At 38.6% G+C, this 21,123-nt stretch overlaps 1 protein-coding gene, 1 long non-coding RNA gene and 1 pseudogene across 11 annotated transcripts in view; 1 reads left to right on the top strand and 2 right to left on the bottom strand.

Annotated features, from left to right (window-relative positions):
* MLIP (muscular LMNA interacting protein) overlaps window positions 1-231 on the bottom strand; it is a 247,311-nt gene extending 247,080 nt beyond the window's left edge. For all 10 annotated transcript variants that reach the window (XM_047419509.1, NM_138569.3, XM_024446579.2 and 7 more), the window contains exon 1: window positions 110-231. In XM_047419509.1, the coding sequence (XP_047275465.1) occupies window positions 110-172 (63 nt within the window). In that variant the 5' untranslated portion in view covers window positions 173-231. The remainder of the gene's footprint in view (window positions 1-109) is intronic.
* Window positions 2,378-2,913, top strand: ERHP2 (ERH pseudogene 2; annotated as a pseudogene).
* Window positions 12,049-20,311, bottom strand: MLIP-IT1 (MLIP intronic transcript 1). The gene is made up of 4 exons (NR_046832.1): window positions 20,142-20,311; window positions 18,107-18,291; window positions 16,482-16,587; window positions 12,049-12,230 (listed from the first exon to the last, which is right to left on the bottom strand). It is a non-coding gene; the product is annotated as an MLIP intronic transcript 1 (long non-coding RNA).
* Window positions 20,312-21,123: the final 812 nt, after the last annotated feature.

Raw genomic sequence — 21,123 nt, 5'->3', positions numbered from 1 at the left:
AAACATGGAAACAGAGGCCGGCTAGCACAACTTTTCCAGTCTATGACAGTTGCTCTACTACCCTGTCAATTTCATTATAAATCTGTGTGTGCTAAATCTCATGTCTTACCGTCAGTTTCTCCTCTAAATTCTTGTTTAATAAGCTTCTTTTTTCACGCTTTTCAAGTTCCATATTGAAAGAGAATGAGAAAGAGAGAAAGACTGAGAGACACAGAGGTTCAGATTCTGTCTAGAAAATGATTCGACGTGCTTACATGTTAGATATTGCAGGACATTCCAAGTTGTGAGAGCCTAGGACACTATCAGAGAGCCCTAGCGATAATTTCTGGTTAGCTAGTGTTTCCATTTATAGATGTTCAAACCCTATAAACAGAGCACTGAAGAGAAGTCAGGCAGCTGGCCTTAGATAATGATAAATGTCCCTAGATATAAAAGCAAACTCTTCAGCAGAATGTTCCAACAGGTTAGGCTCCCTGAACCAATACAGATGTATGTGACAAAAATCCACGATCAAAGAATTCATTAATAGCTGTTGCAACAGAATAAAATATACTCTAGAATACAGACCTAATAAATCAGTTAAAAAGAACAAATGTGATAGTCAGATAGCAAATAAAATCAGCAGATCTAGCGCTTCCAAATTCCAATTTGCAACCTAGTACTGTAGATATGTTTGTATTACTTTGTAGATTTTTCAAAATGTTGCTTAAAGAGGAAGAGCAAAAGTATAACAAATTAAAACTATAAAGACATGCAAATATATATTCAAGGGGTGTTGTCAACTTTATTCCATGGAGAGTTGACAAAATGATGTTTAAAAATACCATGAAATAAAAGTGTTTTCCTTCACAAAAATGGATTTTGTTCTTCATTATCCTGGCTTTTTCACTGGGAGCAAAGTTATGATATAGAAGATAAATCTCATTTTTTTCAGTGGAACAAGTACTTTCAGATTTCTTTAGAAAATGTTACATGCCTTAAAGAAAATTAATTGGGCAACTTAATGGTAAATAGTTCTCCCTGTGTTTTGCAGCAAAACAAAATATGTGGAAGGTAATAGAAGAATAGAAACGGATTTCAGAGTAAACTAAGACTGCTCTCTATGGTGATTTAATACTTCAGCCTGTTTAAAACATCCTTTTAACACCTGTTTTTTGGTTTTGGTTTTGTTTTGTTCTGTTTTGTCTACTTTAACTCAAATTCCCTATCAGCTTTTCCTTCATAAGAAAACATTTCAGAAAATGTGTTGTGGAGCTCTGTCCTTTCAAACGATTGCAGTCAATCCTCTGTTGTCAGGCAGGGTTGCTCCAGAATTTATTCTGCATCATGATGGAAGGTTTGAAGACTCCAGAAGTGAAACACTGAGTAGGCAATAAACCTATCCTTCAGGATGATAAATTCAGAAACACCATATTAGATTCATGGGCAAAAGGGGCTTCCTCTTTTCACTCAAATGTAAATTCCAGAAAGGAAATTATTTATGCTGGTTATTGTTCTAACAAGTTGGAAAACAAAAGTCTTAAAGATTGATTAACATGCAAGATCGGTATGTGTCAAAAGTAAGGCAATTGTTAAAATCTTAAGTGAACGAACTTCCTAAACCTCTCTAGAAAAAAAAAAAAAAGAATCATGCTGTGGCTGCAAAAGGAAACTCAATTCGTGCTCAGCATGCGAGTTTAATGCCTGAAGACTGAATCCAGGATCCGGTTAGGAGGAAAAGGAATGGTGTGTGTGATGCAGAGTTGGTTGGCAGATGAGAATATGGTAGTGATTTGGAAGAGATGTGGTAGGCATGAAAAGTTTTAGTTACACAAACATGTGCTGAGTGCCTGTAATAGATAAAGATTATCCTAGGGGCAGGTAGTTTTTTTTAAATAAAATAATTGAAAATAATAATACAATTTACAAATACAATCCCTGGATTTTGGCCCTCAACAAACTCACAACCGAGGTGCGACTGGATAGTAGCAGGATAATAACCCTCATATAGCACAGTTCCTTGGCATACTCACCGTGCGCTAGGTACCGCTTTAAGGCTTTCCAAATGTTATTTCAATTCCCTTTTAAAATCACTCTAGAGGGTAGATATTATTATCTTCCCCATTGTTATGGGCTAAATTTGTGCCTCCAAAATTCATATGTTGAAGTTCTCATCCCCCAATACCCTAGAATGTGACTGTATGTAAAGAATGTTCTTGAAAGAGGTAATTAAGGTTAAATGAAGGCATTAGGATGGGCCCTAATCCATTATGAGTGGTTCCTTCTAAGAAGAAATTAGAACACAGGCACTCACAGAGGGAAGGCCCTGTGAAGACTCACTGAGAAGATGGCCATCTATAAGTCAAAGAGAGCAGCCTTAGAAGAAACCAACCCTGGTGCTGCAGGGTAAGCAGCAGCTACCGTGAGAAGAGTTTGGTGGGCGATCTCACACCATCTTGCTGGCACAGCCTACCAAAAAGCCAGAAGACAGAACTGAGGCTGACTATGAATCTTTGAACAAATGCATGGACGGCATTTGTAAAATAAATGAAGAATATCTGAAGAGAATGATCCCAACAGCCCCTCTGTCACACTGATATCATCAGTTGTTTGATTTTATGGACGATCTGGCAGACCTCAGCTGCCTGGTTTAGCGAGCTAATACCCAGACATGCCAGCCTTACAACAAAGATAGGATTAAAGAGTTCTATATGCTCCTGAGTCAGCAGTCCCAACAGACTAGGATGTAATTGAGTTGGGAGCACTAGAGAAATGAGGGTGGGCTTCACAGGTGTGTACAAAGAATGAGCTGTAATGGAAGTTTAGGATTACAGTGTTCCTGTTTCCATTTTGTTACACTCTAGCTAGGATTGAATGTATTAGATAAACGTGAGGGTCTTGTTCAACCTGAAGCTCCTGTTGTCCCCCTTTTTTACTTTTACTTTTTTCTTTCTTTATTTAAACATTTTTTGTGATGATTTAGATGGAAGTTGTTCTTGGTCAGTTAACGTTGGCCCCAATCCTTTAAACTGTCCATAACATTTGCTGTACTAAATAGTCTTCACAACGAAGTTAGAGGTGGAAAAATTTTTTGAATAAAAAATAAATTTACAAATATTTATAAAAGGAAGAAACCAACTGTGCTGACACTTTGATTTCAGTCATCAATCCTCCAGAACTTTGAGGAAACAAACCTCTGTTGTTTAAACCACCCAGTCTGTAGTATTTGGTAGGACAGCCAAATCAAACTAACATACCCATTTCAGAGTTGAAAAAGCAAGACACAGTTACACAACTAATAAGCAGCCATCAAGGCCCCTCGCCTAAGCTCCTCTCCAGCCGCTATGCACTTTAGCTTCTCCTCTGAACAAATCACTTCATTACAGGTGTAGCAGGAGACTGGGTAAACAGCACCAGCACTGTGTGGTGAATGCTCTCTCTTCCATGCCTTTTCAGAGATACGTTTGAATATATTTTAGATACGACTGAGGCACAGAAGCTTTCTTTAGATGAAATTATGCCCAGGCAAAAGCTAGCTCTCATCTACTTGCTGGTCAAACAGAAAAGAGACTGAGCCACTCTGGTGTCCTTTCCATTTGTCAGTCACAATAAACATGTTCCTTCCTTGGGAGCTGTCTTCCTGGAGTGCTCTCCCCGCAGATAGTCACGTAGCTCCCTTCTCACTTCATCCAGGCCTTCCCCACCACAAACAGCAAACCCATCACTCTTTGTTCACTCACTTGCTGTTTTCTTCTTCATAGCTCCTATCATCTTTGGTATTAAATTATGTCACATTATATGTTAAGTTTATCCATATGAACTTCTTTGTAGTTTGCCTTCCCTGCTAGAGTATAAGCATGAAACTGTGCTTTATTCATCATATTATTCAGGCACGTACAATGTAGTGTGGGCTAAATAAATACCTGTGAAAAAAAGTAGGGCAAGAGGAAAAGGAAGGAAAGAAAAAAATCAAAGAAGGAAAAGAGAATGAGAGGGAGGGCAGGGAAGAAAATGGATCCAATGAATGAGACTTGAGACACTTAATACATAATCGTTTATAAGACTTTTGATAGGAAACAGGAATAAAATTATATTAATCCAACACAAATCATACTACAATGAATACCATATTGATTGTTCAAGACACAGATCCTACTCACGTAACTATTAAGGGAGAAAGAAATGGATTTAGGAAGCAGGGACAACTGAATTTGTTTGCAGATTCTGCTACTCTCTAGTTGGCTCATTTTGAGCAAACTACTTACTTAATTATCGGAGTCTCAGTTCCCTGTCCCCTAAATAGAAGGATGATACCAACCACATGTGTTGTTACGAAAATTAAGTGTGGTAAATTTTGTGTGTAAGGAACCTAACAGAATGTCTGGCAACAAGCAGGTTCTCAGTAAAAGCGTGTGACATTTTTTCCCTGGTCGACATGACATTTATGTAGGAAAAAGGTGACTTCAAAGATACTATCCAAACCCTAATAAGTGTGGCAAAAAAATTAACTAGACCAGGGATCGCCAACCCCTGGGCCATGAACCAGTACTTTGTGGCCTGTTAGGAAATGGGCTGCACAGCAGGAGGTGAGTGGCAGCTGAGCGAGCATTACCACCTGAGCTCCACCACCTGTCAGATCAGCAGCAGCATTAGATTCTCATCAGAGCGTGAATCTTATTGTGAACTGCGCATGTAAGGAATCCAGGTTTCATGCTCCTTACGAGAATCTAACGAATGCCTGATGATCTGAGGTGGCACAGTTTCATCCAGAAACCATCCCCCACCCCTAGCCCCATCTGTGGAAAAATTGTCTTCTGGGAAGCAAAAAGGTTGGAAACCACTGAAATAGAAAATAAGAGCAAATATTTGCAAGTTATTTATCTGATAAAAGATTTGTATCCAGGATACATAAAGAACTCTTGCAACTCAACAATAAAAAGACAAATAACCCAATGTAAAAAAATGGACAAAGGATTTGAATAGACATTTCTCCAAAGAAAACAAATGGCCAACAAGCACATGGAAAGATGTTCAACATCATAGTGATTAGGAAGCACAAAACAAAACCAGGAAATAACATTTCACACCTATTAGGATGGCTAAAATAAAACACAAACAATAACAAGCATTGGCAAGGATGTGAGGAAACTGAAACCCTCTTACATTACTCCTGAAATCATAAAGGGGCACAGCCACTTTAGACAACAGTGTGGCAATTCCTCAAAATGCTATACATAGAATTACAATATTACCCCAAAATTCCACTGCTAGGTATATACACAAGAGAAGTGACAACATGTGTCCACACAAAACTTCTACCCAAATGTTCATGACAGCATTATTTGTAATTGTCAAAAAGTGGAAAAAACACAAATATCTATCAGTATATGGATGGTAAAACAGATGTGGTATATCCATACAGGGAAAACTATTCAGCAATAAAAAGGAATTAAGTATTAATACATGCAAGAACATGGATGAACCTTGAAAATACAATAAGTGAAAGAAGCCAGTCACAAAAGACCACCTATTACATGATTTATTTACATAAAATGTCCAGAATAGGCAAATTCATGGAATGAGAAAGATCATTTGTGGTTTCCAGTGGTAGGAGGGAAGGCAGAACAGGGAGTGACTGCTAACGGGAACAGAGTTACTCTTTTGGATGATGAAAACGTTATGAAATTAGACATTGGTGATGATTTTGTACAACTTTGAAAATATACTAAAAATCACCAAAGTGTATGTACAGCGTAAAAGGATAAATTTTATAGCATATAAATTATACATTAAGAAGGCTATTACTTTTTTAAAAAAAATTGACAAAGAAAGATTTGTAATTCCTTTTTAAGCTGGAAATTTATTATTTTTCCCAGGAATATACTACACACATAGGGTCCCTCCAAACAGGAAATTAAAATGTAAACTGCAGTAACCAAGCAAGAATTCCATTCAAAATGGAAACAAATGACCGCTGGCACATAATATTTGGTTCAAGATATTGCCACCTCACTTCATTCCTTTGCATTCAATACACCTGCTTCCCAAATAAGTGCCTGATGAATTTGTGCCTGTATTCAAAAACTGGGGGAAAGTGGAACTTGCAGCAATTAAAATTGCTTGTTCATTTACTGGATCAGAGATCCAAATGTAAATTAACTTTAATTGTGGTGATTTTCCCTCACCTGCCATTTAAAAAACTTCCTTCTCCACAAAAAAAGCACAGATAGGTGCTCTACTGCTGAAACCTCACAAGGTAGACAAGGCACGAATGAAAACAAATGCTGTTTTCTTTTGAAAGAATGACAATCTGCCAAACATGGCATAGACAACCCAGAATCTTCCCCATTACATGCTCCAAGGATAAATATCTTTTTACTAAGACAGGGGTCATCTTCTGGGACAATTGATGCTTTTATAAAGGTTTCTTATCATTCCACATAGCCCATCCAGAACATGAGTCCGTTATTCCCCCCTTGATCAATTCAGAAGCCCACGTAATCTCCACACCCATTTAGTGATGGACCAGGATACTATACTCAGCACATGCTTCAGGTACCCAAGGGCCTAATCCAAATGTAGCTCAGACCCAGCATTGAGCACTGATCTCAAACAGTTAACTTCTGATCTGTTGGTGTTGCTCTTAGTTCAGAGCTTATGCCTTTGTCTCTAGAAAGCTGTGTTCCAATTGGTGGTCACAGCATTGGGGAGGGAGGTGGCTGTAGGCAAGCGAGAGAATGGTTCCCAGCTCTTTCTGGTTGTCTCAGCATCCTTACCTGAATCTATTTATCAGCTTTGGCAGCTGCAAACTCTTAAGGAGCAGCTGTCAACTCTTCTACGGGAAGACTTTTAACCTCCCATCACCACCCTTTTTAAGGCATCCGTGATGGCTTCTGTAGGCAAGCAGTACTGAGTTCTAAAAGTTGTGGTGGGTACTCAGAGCTTGTGAAAAGATAATGTCTATAGAGGAATTTCTTAAAGTTGAATTCGTCACTATACAACAAATATTGTTTGTAAGTTGAAGCTGCCAAGCAGATAAAAAAGCCAACCCCAAAATATCAGTAGATGATAATTATGATAATGACAGCTTAACAAACTTGTACCTTTGTAATTACTGTTCTTCAGTGAAACATAAACTATTTCTACTGGAATGTAAGTTTTTTAACTTCTTCTGATACTGGTTGTCCCCTTATTTTGGTTCTGGGCCATATTTTTTGAATGACTATAAAAAATACATTTTAGTCCATCTAAGGGAGAAAACATGTTCTTTCTAAAATTACTTCTGAGGCAGAGTGTTTTTTGAAGCATTAGAAAATATTTGAATCAAGTGAGAACTGTAAGAACTTTGAAAAGTGCTTTTTTAATTTGTGCACCATCTTAAAAAAATGCAATTCCTTTATTGGAAACTTATTGAAAAGTAAAATGTGAGGTTTTAAAAAACTACTGCTATTAACATTGGTGACAATTTCTACATAGCAATAGTAATTCGGATATAAAACTAAATTCATACCTTCAGAGTCTGTAAAACAAACTGGCTAAAATCAGTTGAGAATCAAGTCCAGCATGTTCCGTTTTCTCAACTACTATATAATAGCACGTTTTCAAGGGGCTTTCAATTTATTTTCTCTTGTGCATGGTTACATCCACAGAGGTACTTGGTTGAACAGGATTTGCTCTTGCATTTGCAGTCAATATATTTCTAGGCCCTTTCAACGGTCGATACACTTCCTAGTAGTTCCTAGTAGCCACTTTCTGTCTGTCTGTCTGTCTGTCTCTGTCTCTCTCTCTCTCACACACACACACACACCGTTGCTATTTCAGGAGTAAAGACAACAAACCAAGGTGAACTGACAGGATTTTAGGGAAAAGGACTCAGAAGCAGAATTACAATGTGTCTTTCTAACTTTGGAAAGGAGTTCCGGATTTAAGTTTTTCTGGGTCTTTTTGACTTAATCAATACAACCAGATTCAACACCTAGCTCACCCCTCCCCCAAACCCAGCAGCTTAACTGTCATGGTTGTGTTGACATGATAAATCACTTTGCCCCCAAAGTAACAGCTCGGTGCCCTTTGAGACAGTGTGCCCAAAATGTACTTTCAGTTTTATCAGTTGAAATTGTAACATGTTCCAAAGCAATCTGCACTTATACAGAAAGAATGCTTACCTTTCTACTGACTTGGAAGCAGTCTGCAGGACAGTAATCCATCAGGGAGGTCAACGGCCACATTCCCAGAACAGCTGACCCTGTCAGTCTTCGGAAAATACTGTTTACTCTGTAACTAATACTGGATACCAGGCACAAGAGGCAGAAACCAAATTTTAAAAAAAGAGTTTGGCATAAACCTCATTCCCACTGGGACCACTTCACAAGAACCGTAGTTGCTAAGTTCCCCCCAAAATATTTCTTTATAAGAATGTCTTAGCAATAGTGGGAATTTTGAGTCAAGTGTTGAAAGTTTTGCAACATATCCAACTATCTAATTTTTAGTGTACTGATGAAAATTCTTTAAGCTTCCCTAAGGACATAAGTGGTAACAGAGTAAAATGTTACTGAAAATTGAATTTATCTTCTATTATGTTGACTGGATTTTTTAAGTAAAATTAAAAGTCCTTCTGAAGTGAAATGTCCATTACTCCAGAGAAGGAAAGTCGGAATTATGCAATAGATGTCCATGACAAGGCTGAACAAACTCCACAGTCAGGCAGGACAATTGCCCTGCTTCCCAGCCACCAAAAAATGTCCAGAGAGGGCAGACTTCTGCTGAACCTTCCTCAGTTCCCACAAATTTTCTTCGCTAATTACTCTCAACAGAAGTGAGTCTGCGTTACCCCAAAGGCCACTACTTCAATGTCTAGCCTCTGTGCAAAGGGATCCAACTTTGGGCTATGGCCCATGTGGAAGTCCCATTTAAAGCATAGCCAGGGAAGAGACTCAGAATTTGAAAAGCAAATTATTGCTCATTTACTTGATTATCTGTGGAAAATATATCATCTCAGATTAGCTTTGTCATCCCACCCTGTAAATCATCCCACCTGCCTTCTATAGTGTATTTTTAAAAGAAGGAAGCTATCACAATTTATTTGCCTTTTGGGATCATTCACATTGTAACTCAGGGTTCCCTAGTAACTTGTAACTGTGGCACACTGAGTTTCTGCTGTTTCAAAAGGTTCCAGGAAGAAGCCCAGCTATAGCAAAACAAAAACCAGGTAAAACCAGAGGTGCCTGAGTTGGAGATGAAGTTTGGTGAACTCTCCCTATTACCATACTTAAAAACCCCACCTAGGGAGGAGCTTATTCACCATTTTCTATACCTGCAATATATGAAGAAGCATGATCAGGACTGTGCCTGCACTGCCTTTACCCTGCCTTTCATACAATGACTAAGCCAACCAGCCTAATGAAAGCCCTGCTCTCATCTTCCTTTGGAGAGACACACTGCTTTGGGAACTATCCCCAGTGTTCTCCTTACTTGTTGCAAGTAACAAAAATCCCCTTGGTAAATCCTCCTTGGTTGTGGTCATTGGGTTAACACCTGCCAAGCGACCAAAACCATCCATTGTGTGGGTCACACCACTACTCTCTTTCATGATTTGCACTAGTTGAGTTGATTGATGTTGGTGATTTCTAAATGAATGCTTATGCAAAAAACAATGTTATTTTAGGACATTATTCGATTATTTTCTATCCAGTTCAATAATTTGATAATCATGGGTCGAGTATGTCAACATCCCTGTGTGGACACTGACAGCTTTCAGGAGTTGAACGCACAGTCTACTGTCAAGAATTTAGTTAGAAATGAACAGAATTGTATACATCACAGCAGGCTGAATGTGCTAAGTGCTAAGTTAGGAATATAAATGATGTGCTTTAAGAGCCAAAGAAACAAAAGACGATTCTGTCTGGGGACATTGTTCATGATTTCACACAGATGATAGATTTGAGCTGGGCTATCCTAATCCTTGCTGCTAAAAGTGATCTTTGGACATCAACATTTACATCATGTGAGAGCTTGTTAAAAATTAAAAACGTGAATCCCACCCCAGACATACAGAGAAAGAATCTGCACTTTAATAAGGTCTACAGGCTAATCATATGGGCATTCAAGTTTCAGAAGCACTGATTTATCTACTTTTAGAATGGCTAGAGATATAGAAAGAAGGACATGTCTGCGTACACAAAAATAATGAAAGCCAGTAGAAATAGAGGATTAATAGAGTATCTACAGAGGATTTACGTCTGTCACCTAACAGTAATGGGAAAAAAACACCACAACCACTTATTATGACCCAGTAACTCTGCTAAATGATTGATTATGCTATCTCATTTTGTGCTCTCAACAATCCCTTGAGCTAGCTGCATCATTTCACAGATGAGAAAGCCAACACTAGCAAGGGTTAAGTAATTTTCCAAGTCTACATAGAGAGAAAAGAGTAGATAGAGCCAGGATTCAAAACTAATATTTACTTCCAAACTAGACCTCTCAGCCACTACCTACTCTAAGCCTTGGATTTTCTCCACCAGGAACAAATCCCAGTCCTTATCAACACTCCCCTAGAGAAAAATAAGAGGGCCTGAAGCCCACAGGTAGAGCATCCCAGGCAGCCCACACTCTATTCCTCCTTCCATCCTTCTTTCTTTCTTTCTTAAACTTCCACATCTGTTGGAATAAGAAGGGAAGACTGACAATACTGTTTTGGTGACTAAGGTAATTATTTTTTCATTAAAAATAGAACTTTTGGGAGACTCTCTTGGGCAACCCCCTTTCTCAGCATGAGGCAGCTTCCTCTCCCTTTTTTTTTTTTTTTTGTCTATTAAACTTCCCGCTCCAAAACCCACCCCCAATAAAATAAAATAAAATAAATGTTTTATTTTATTACCAACTAAATTTATATATACCACAGAAATTTTGGAAAACACAAAGAGGTACAAACAGAAAATTTTAAATTATCTGTAAAACCACAACTCAAATATACCACAGTTAACATTAAGATATATTTCCAGCCGGGCGTGGTGGCTTATGCCTGTAATGCCAGCATTTTGGGAGGCCGAGGCGGGCGGATCATGAGGTCAGGAGATCAAGACCCTCCTGGCCAACATGGTGAAACCCTGTCTCTACTAAAAATACAAAAATTAGCTGGGCATGGTGGTGTGCACCTGTAGTCCCAGCTACTCAGGAGGCTGAGGCAGGAGAATCGCTTGAACCCGGGAGGCAGAGGTTTCAGTGAGCCAAGATCACGCCACTGCACTCCAGCCTGGTGACAGGGCAAGATTCCATTTCAAAAAAAAAAAAGATATATTTCCTGCCAGGCTTTTTTATATATTTTAATACTTTATATAATTAGTAGTGTACTGTCCATCCTGTTTTGTGACTTTTTTATTAAACAACACATTATGAACAATTTCCTTGTCATTAATGCTTTTATTCATGAGTATTCCTAAAGGTTAGATGGTGGCAATATAATTTTTGTCTGGCCTCGCCAAGAGTCAGGGAACAGAGGCTAGACAATGGCACAAGTGCAGAGAACAGGCTGGACACAACCCACCTTAATGATTGGTTCTTCCCTTTATCATTTTAAAATTGATATTGGTCACATTAAGTTTGTTTACAATAACAAATAACTGCATATTATAGGCAAATAAAATTATCAAATTTCCCAAAAGTAAGAAAAACAAAATCAGTGAAGCACTGTAATTCTACGTCCATGAATAATCTATGCTTCTTACTTGCTATAAATGGTGTGTCAGCAGGAGCTCTTGATAAAATATCTATTGTTTTTTAAAAATACATCAATCATTATGTACACTATAATATTCTAGTAGTAATACATGCTCACTAGAGATATTTCCAAAAACACCCAAAAGTAAAGCCATCTTATATAGTAATACTTGATTGCAGGAACAGAAACTGACTTGAGAATAAATAATAATAACACTGTATATTATAAGCCAGGCTTCATGAAGGCTACAACCAGAAACTGGAAAGTCATCATTAACCAGTTCCTCTGTTAGATCTCATGAACTCTTGTCTTTTTCTTTCTTTGTATATCTGCTTTTGTCTTATTTTCCTGAAAATCTGCTTTCTTTGTGCAAGTGGGAGAAGATGCCCGCACCTCCAGTCCAAAATGTTCATGTCTCTCAATCCAAGGCATGCATACAAACTGACTTGTTTTCTCTGAATTTCCAAGTCTAATTCCCAGAAGAAAAGATCCAGTTTGCCCACCATGAGTCAGGTGTCCATCATGATCCAATCTGCAACGGGTAGTGGGAGGTTAGAAGTGGTGGTAGGTGAGGAAGGGAGGAGGAGACCGGGCAGAGTCACATATTCTCAACACAAGGGAGTTGAGGAGGCATCATTAAAAGGGTCTACTAAAAACTGGGAAAACAAAAACAAACCAAAAATACAACTAAAAATGTTAATATTTTCCTGGATTTTATCCCAATCTGTTTTCTATTCTTACATTTAATAATATTTCCTTCTAGGCTTTTCTATATATAGTATATTTTAGTTGTGATAATGATGTATAAACTTTATACCTTAATATAAGAATTCTTCATATTACTGTAAAGTCTTGAAAAATATTTTAAATCAGCAAAGCACCAATTAGTCAATGTGCAATATTTTGTAACCATTCCCATTTCATTGGAAACTCAAATTATTTCCCATGATTTCAAATAAATCTGAGATCACCACCTTTGTGTACAGAAAGCTATTTTTCTATTTTGAATTACTTCATTAAAACTGACTTCCAGATGCTGAATTTTACCAGAGTAAAGATAACGAAAATTGTCCAAGTTCTTGATAGATACTGCTAAATTTCTTTCCGAAAGGGTTGCATGAATGTGTCTTTCACATATCCTCATCAGCATAAGACATTATTGTATTTAAAAATTTCCCATAGTTAACAATAATTTATTGTTGAAATAACTGAAAGAGTAGAATTGGAATGTTCTTAACACAAAGAAATAATAAACGTTTAAGGTGTTGGATATTGCAATTACCCTGATTTGATCATTACACAGTGTATGTTTGTATCAAAATATCACATGTACCCCATAAATAGTAAATATGTGCAACTATTATGTATCCATAAAAATTAAAGATCATCTTTTAAATTGCTATACTGGAAATTTAAGATAGAAGTAACATTTACTGGCTTTTTTTTTTTGAGACAGAGTCTCACTCTGTCACCAGGCTGGAGTGCAATGGTGCAATCTTGGCTCACTGCAAGTTCTGCCTCCTGGGCTTAAGAAATTCTCATGCCTCAGCCTCCAGAGTAGCTGGGATTACAAGTGTGTGCCCCCACACCTGGCTAATTTTTGTACTTTTAGTAGAGATGGGGTTTCGCCATGTTTGCCAGGCTGGTCTCAAACTTCTGGCCTCAGTGATCCACCCGCCTCAGCCTCCTAAAGTGCTAGGATTACAGGTATGAGACACGGTGCCAGACTTCAATGGCATTGTTAAAGCAACATGAGTATAAACATGGTTTCTTCTATGTAACTGTTGAGGCTTAATCACCACACATTGGCCAATTATCATTAAACCTCCTTTAGCAGCCAGGACTAAACGCACCATTCTTCCTTGGTACCACCCTTCATTCATCCGACAAACATTAGTTGACCACCTGTTAGCTGCCAAGCACTGTTTGAAACTTAGAAATAGAAATATATAGATATATGGTCCCTGTTCCTAAAGGTACTGTTACATGAAGGATGGCAGCCCTCATGGAAATAGACACAATAGAGAGGAATCACTGCATCCCACTCAGGGCTTCCCTGCATAGCCCTGGAACTCCCTCAGTGATACACACCCGACAGGTCCTCAGGTCAGTTCTGGTCCTTCAGAAAGTTCCAAGGAATGAGGGAGGGTAGCACTCTGAACACATTTCAACCACAAATCCCAGGCTTACCTAGCACTTCGCTTTTCCTGCTTAAATGAAAAAAGAATGGCTAAAAATGTGTTATAAGAATGGATGAGGCTGGGCGCAGTGGCTCATGCTTGTAATCCCAGCACTTTGGGAGATGGAGACAGAGGTGGGCGGATCAATTGAGGTCAGGAGTTCAAGACCACTGGCCAACATGGTGAAACCCCGCCTCTACTAAAAATACAAAATAACAGCCAGGTGTGTGTGGTGGGCACCTGTAATCCCAGCTACTTGGGAGGCTGAGGCAGGAGACTCGCTTGAACCCAGGAGGCAGAGGTTGCAGTGAACCAAGATCATGCCACTGCACTCCAGCCTGGGTGACAGAGTGAGACTCTGTCACAAAAAAAAAAAAAAAAAAAAGAATGGATGAGACGTTCCTTTGGAATTTATTCAAACATATCAAAGTTTTTTAAACCCAGCTATAACATCTGGAGCAGACAAAATCTACACTCAGTAGTAGATTCTTATGATCTCTCTTTTTCTCTCTCTCTCTCTCGCACCCTCCTTCCCTCCCTCTCACTGACTAGTTTATTAATATAAATGTTGCTCCCAATTTGAGAAGTTCATTGAGGCATAATTTAGAATTAATAAGCTCAGGCAATAGTATACAATTAATGTACTTCCCAAGTTAGGCAGGAGTTTAATGTCACCTCATAAAACCAAGTCTTTGTAATTATCGAAGTGCCAGCTGTGAACTGATCAGGAACACAATAGGAATTTTGTTAATTATCATTACCCAGAGGAAAATAATTAGTTTCTTTGTAGGGAGAATAAAAACAAATGTTGCTATTTTCATTTTAATTTCAACCACTGAAGTTGATAAAACTCAGAATTGGTCTACCAGTTTTGGTCCTCCTATTTCTAAATATTACAAACTCATTAATGCATTAGCAGATTGCATGTTAATCTTCATGTCCATAAATTAATTGGAACACTAGTCACTGGATAATTGGTACATTGTTTTTAGGGGGCATAAAATAACCGCCAAACCCCAAGGTAAAAAGGGCGACTGAAACACCTTTGGAGAGAATGATATAATCTAGCTTTCTTAAGACTTCAAAGCTTCATCAAAGTCTTCTTTAACCCATTATCTTTTCCTTTAAGCATGGCAAATTGACTTTCCTTCTCCCCTACACCTTGCAGATAAATCTCAAAATCATCAGATCAGAGTAACAGGGAGTATTTATTGGCCTAACTGAAGAACTTGGGTCCAATTGCAGCCTTCTCTTCTCTAGAGCCATCAGGCATGAGGACCCACTGTCCACTTCGGTTAGAAACCACACTGTCCATAGGGAATGCTATGTTTTGTTTGGAACACAGTATGGTACTTCTGAAATATTGAAGATAGTGCTAGGCCATTTGGGTAGCTCAAAAATGCAATAATGGCTGGGCACAGTGGCTCACACCCTTAATCTCAGTACTTTGGGAGGCTGAGGCAGGAGGATCTCTTGAGCTCAGGAGTTCAAGATGAGCCTGGGCAACATAGCAAGACCCTGTCTCTACAAAAAAAAAAAAAATTAAAAAATTAAAAAAAAAAAACTAACCAGGCATGATGGTGTGCATCTATAGTCCTGGCTACCTGGGAGGTGGAAGTAGGAATATCCCTTGAGCCCAAGGTGTCAGGGCTGCAATGAGCTATGACTGCACCACTGCAATCCAGCCTATGTGACACAGTGAGACTCTGTCTCTAAAAAAGAAAAACAAGCTAAAAGATGTTGAATGATTTATTGTTTTTAGATTTTTGGAGCTTTCAGGAAGCCTACAGATTACAAAGTGCAAGCAGACACAAGCATTAAAAAACAAGAATGTCAGGAATTCTGACCCTAGGGGCAGATAAGCAGTCACATCCTTTGCCCTAGGATGTAGAACTCAAGCCTAAACCTACAAATCTTGATTTTACAAATCCATCTCATGTCATTTTCATTCCATTAATTAAAGACATTTATGTGTCACTAAACGTCTTTCAACAGATCAGCTTTGCCGCATAGGTCCAAGTAAGAGCTTGGAAGAGAAAAGTGTTTGAGTCCAACGTCTATATTTAAGGCTTTTGGCATTTACTTACATTCTTTGGGCCTCAGTTTCCTATCAGAAAAATGCAGATAAGAATAGCAACTTTGCCACAGTACTGTTTAAGGGATGAAGTGCAAAAAATTATCACTATACATCAGTATTCTCTTTGTGGAAACTGCTATTCCTCTAATTACTCTATGTTATCAGTAGATGAACAAACCTGAACAACAAACCAATAGTCAAGTGTCCATGGAGAGAAATTATTGTTGCAATTGAGTGAAACAAGTTGGTGGTGTGATATATGTAATGACTTGCATCACTGCCATTGTGCTGCATACTAATTAGTTATAAATAATAAGCCATAGATATAAATGTCTATAATTAGTGTTGCTTTTACAGGAAAGTTCAATTTTTCATTTTTCTTTTCTCATTTTGTCCATTCTCCATATCTGTAATCAGCATCAACATCAGCAATTTTTCAAAGTACAGCTTCACTATAATCACTCACAGGAACAATCACCCACATTAAAAGATAAAGCCCCTTGCCCTTGAACCAAGATGTTCTTACTTCAATGCTAGGTGTTTCAATTCATGGTTCAACCAGGAACCTTCTCCACTGGGATTTGCAATACTAGAGGCAGTAAAACATCTGGACCATGAGGTCACTTCTTCTCCTTGGAAGGCAATGGAGGATTGTTCACAGCATAAAGAAAAAGAGGAAGCAAGTCAACATCTGTGGAGGCACTCACAGGTATTTGGCACTGCTAGATGCTTTTCAATTTTGTATCTACATCTCCTACCACCCTCATAAGATAACTATGACATTATCCCCCTCTTACATGTGAGTAAGTTATACCTAACAAATGTCAAATAACTTATCTAAGTCCCCAGCTAGAAAGGGCAGCACAAGAGTTTGAACTGAGATCTGCTCCACATAAAATCCTAGCCTGCTATATTAGCAAGTGAGTCAGAGCAAAAGCCCTGAACTCAAAAGTATGTGGGTGTGTGGCCCAGGAGGGCAGAATCCAGGGAGACGGAGCTCTGAAACCTAGGAAGTGAGAGTTTTGAAAGAGATGAAGAGGATCAAGGATTGATCAAGGAAAGGGGAGAGGGGAATTAAGTCAGTTCATGATCACTTTCACTGTAAAAGTTTTGCTCTGGGAAAGGCAATGGATGAGTTCAAGGGTGTATCAGCTGGGCTTTGGTAGTGGAAGCAGAGTCACTATGAGCATTATGGTAAATCCATAAAGCATTTACCATAGGAATTAGAGTTTACAGAATTGTGGGAAGAGCAAGGAAAGGAAAGTTCTGGGAGAGGGAGTTGGAGGATGGAAAAGTCAGGAAGCACTGACTCAGGTTGGCAAGACAATGCTTTCAGAGAGACTTGAGAAGCCAAGCACAGCCAATCTATGAAGCAGGGCTGTGAGCAGGCGCTCAGGGAGACCTCAGGAGAGCTTTTGCCTTTGGCAGCTACTGCCTCTGTGGGTCTGGAATCAAGCATCTGGTGGTGGGCCTGGGGCCACAGTGGTCAGCAGGTCCTGTACTCTGGATGATGAGAGGACCACCATGTGGAGGACAGTGAGGATAAACTGGGACCCACCAGGTACCTCTGCATCTATTCATCTTTGTATCTGGTGTGCTTCCAATAGTGTATTTCCACTAAAGTTCCTCTCCTGACTAATGCTACAGGAAACTCCACAGGAAGGGGATTCTCCTAATGTACTTCCAAGCTTAATCAAGCTGTCAATAGGCACAATTTAAGACAAAGAGTGATGCAGGAAAATCAGTTAGGAAGCTATGTTATAGAAGTCCATGCACGATGTGACCAGTAGAGAGAAAAAAAATGATTTAAGAAACAGGAAAAAAATGCAAGTGGACTTGGCAATGCACTAAACAAATATAAAGAATTTATTTTTAAGGTTAACACTAGCTAAAATTAGAACTATCACAATTGATAGATAAATTGTAATTGGCAACAATGATTTACACAAGCACACTAATAGTCCAATTCTAGCATTATCAAAGGATTTTAAACCTACATTGGGAAACTTTTGCCTCTTGCAGCACATTGAGCAGAAAAAGCCATCAATAAACTATTTTAAAATTTCATGTATGAAAATATTTTTCATACGAAATGCTATCAAAACTTTATAAAAATAAAATTTATTAGAGGTGATACATGATTTTACTCACCTACGACAGGTTTTCTTGTGAGTGTAAAAAAATTATGCCAGATTTTTAGCGGTGAAGATTCTTCCTGTGTTAGGAGGATTGAAGACCTATGACTCCAACAGCCAAAAGAGTAAGATGTGCTTGGAATGCTTGCCTTCCAGAATATTTGAAGCAATTAAGCAATTTGCTCTTATTTCCTCTAACTACTGAAAAATCAAATATCGTAAGAATCCCTGTTGACCCCCAAATCCATCCATCACAACATATTGAGGCTCCCCTAACTGACCCACAAAGTAAATAAGCCTTAAAGGATACAAAAGAAAAGGGTCTTCTCTAGCTTTCTTAGGAAACAGAAAAACCAACAGCTTTTCAGGTAAACCCCGTGTGAGCATCAAAATCTCTCTCTTCTAAGTGACACCACAGGCATAATGTAAGGATCATTGGATTGAGAGTTTAGATATCCAATGTTTCTTGTTTTGTCTCTGATACTAATTAGTTACTTTGTCTCACTGAGAATCTACTTTTTGTCATTAAAATGAGTGAACTAGGCCATATAATCTTTGTCTTTTTTTTTTTTGTTATGTAAATCTTTTTTTTTTTTTTTTTTTTTTTTTGAGACAGAGTCTCACTTTGTCACCCAGGCTGGAGTGCAGTGGCGTACTCTCAGCTCACTGCAACCTCCGCCTCCCGGGTTCAAGCAATTCTCCTACCTCAACCTCCCTAGTAGCTGGGATTACAGGCACCCACTACCACACCCAGCTAATTATTTTTGTATTTTTAGTAAAGACGGGGTTTTGCCACTAAATCTAATAGTGACCATACAGTAATAGGCTCAATAAATTCCATCCACTCTCTGAGCAAAACATAATGCAGAAAGTTCTTGAAATCTTTGTCTACTGCTAGTCTGTCTACCAGCCACATCCCTTAAAGTCTCCATATGGAATCATATTTTGGTTTAAAGTTGGACAGTTTCCTTTAGCCAATAGTACTTTCTGGTCAGACATTTTATCAAGATCCCAAGACCCCTAACCATGAGCAACATTTCCTTTCATCTGTGGGTCCTCAGTAGTTACCTGCTTTTCTTTCTGAAACACACCCTGTTTCACTTGAATGCCAGTAATAACCTCTCAGATAGATATTGGGGGTGACATTACAGACATTTTCTAATGGAAGTTTCTGAGGGCCAAGGAAATTAAATGGTCAACCAATGCCATTTGGGATGTTTGTTACTGTGAAGTCATCATGCCTCCAGACTCATAATCTTATGTTCCTTTTCTTATAATTTGCTGAAGGGATTTTTAGATTATAATGTCTATCGGGAGCAACCATTTTGAGAGTTACAAACATTGTATAAGATAATTAGAAACAAGATTCATAACACAGAGGTGTTTCATTTCTGTTCGCTGAAGCAAGCTATTGGCCATTGTGAACCCACTGACCACAGGGTCAGCTTGCATAAACGAAAACAGAATTATGTCACTGCACCTTGTCCAGAACTGTTATTGTGCAAGTTAACTAAATTTATGTAGTTCTATGTCCTGCACAGATGCGGGACTTTTCTTCTAGGTCACTTTGCAAGCCGGGGGCCCCCAGCTGGCAACTCCTTTCCAGGCCTCGCTCTGCCACACTGGCATGCCCCAGCTTGCCTGTGTCATAGCTTGTACCCCTGTTTGGTGATTCCTGAGCTCTTCTACTGCACCCAAGAAGGATGAGGATACACTGGACATTGAAGGGTGAGGAGGGCAGAGAATATTTTTATTGAGCAATGGAACAGCTCTCAGTGGAATGGTGAAGCAGTGGGTGATTACCTAATCCAAAGGCAGGAAAGTCCCCCATGTGGCTGGGTCGCAGGCTTTAAACCTTCCACTTGAAGGTGGGGTTTCACTGTGTACCCGCTCCTATCTGCCTAGGCATTTGGCTGCCTCCTGTCTCTATCAGCACTAGAGATAGCAAATATAAGCGTCTTCATCAGCCAACCAAGCACTTTTAATTAGTTAGGTGAGTATGTTGTAAAACAACAGAAAATGAAGACTGTAGTGAACCAGATACTACCTACCCTTACTCAGCTCCAGCTTACTGTTGCCATATGGGAATGCAGGCCCAGGATTTCCAGATCTTCTCATTTTTCCAGAAAAACTAGTTTCATCTGTGAAATCTCTTGATTGTGAAATGTTGGAAACTAATTCAATTTTTTATTCTGTACAGGTTAAAAAAAGAAAAAAAACAAAACAAAAATATCCCACTATCCATGCCCGTAGGTCAGAGTAGGCCAGCAGATCACCAATATACAGTTCCTACTAAATACTAGTGTTAATACAAGAAAAATATTTGACTTATTGGTTTACAAGTTGCAGAAAAGTGAAACCAAAACTAAGTTCTAAGGAATTAGCATCAGGTAAAAGTAGAAGGCTATAGCACAATTATCATGGATAGGATGAAGACCAAAGTCCTGAGTAAAGTATTTGCCTAAATTTCCACCCTTTGTGCCTATGATCCAGCCATATGCAATCACTTGTTCTTGAGTAAACCATACACTCTGTCACTTCCAGGCCTTTGCACATGCAGGTCCTCGTGTCTAGATAACTTCCATAGCTTCCTCTTGCTTTTATCAATCACCTTATCTTCATGCTCCAGATCACAGGTCAAGTCTCATCTGTTCCAGCTAATAGAGAGCAGCTCCACACCCTATCTGATGCTTCTGTAGTGCTAAGCTCTATGCTTTGTGATTCACACAGTACTATTCTTGTCTGTTTTCTTGTATTTCTTCCTGATGAATCCAGAAGCGACTTAAAGGCAAAATCCCTGTTTTATTAGCATTTGTAGTCTCAACTTCTAAAACATTGTATGGAACATAGTTAGTGAAAAATATTTCTTAAATGAATATATGTGAAATAATGTAATAAAGATATATTTTTATAACCTTTCAGATAATCAATTTGAAAGGTAAAAATATTATTTCAAGTAGAAAATGAGCAGCATTTCTATTTTCAGTTTACAGAACTTCCTGAGAATCCTTTATATTTAAAATTATAAGCAAA

The sequence above is a fragment of the Homo sapiens genome, chromosome 6, assembly GCF_000001405.40.
Source record: "Homo sapiens chromosome 6, GRCh38.p14 Primary Assembly".
Lineage (NCBI taxonomy): Eukaryota > Metazoa > Chordata > Mammalia > Primates > Hominidae > Homo > Homo sapiens.
The sequence above is the reverse complement of the archived record's forward strand: the minus strand, read 5'-3'. Positions and strand labels throughout refer to the sequence as shown.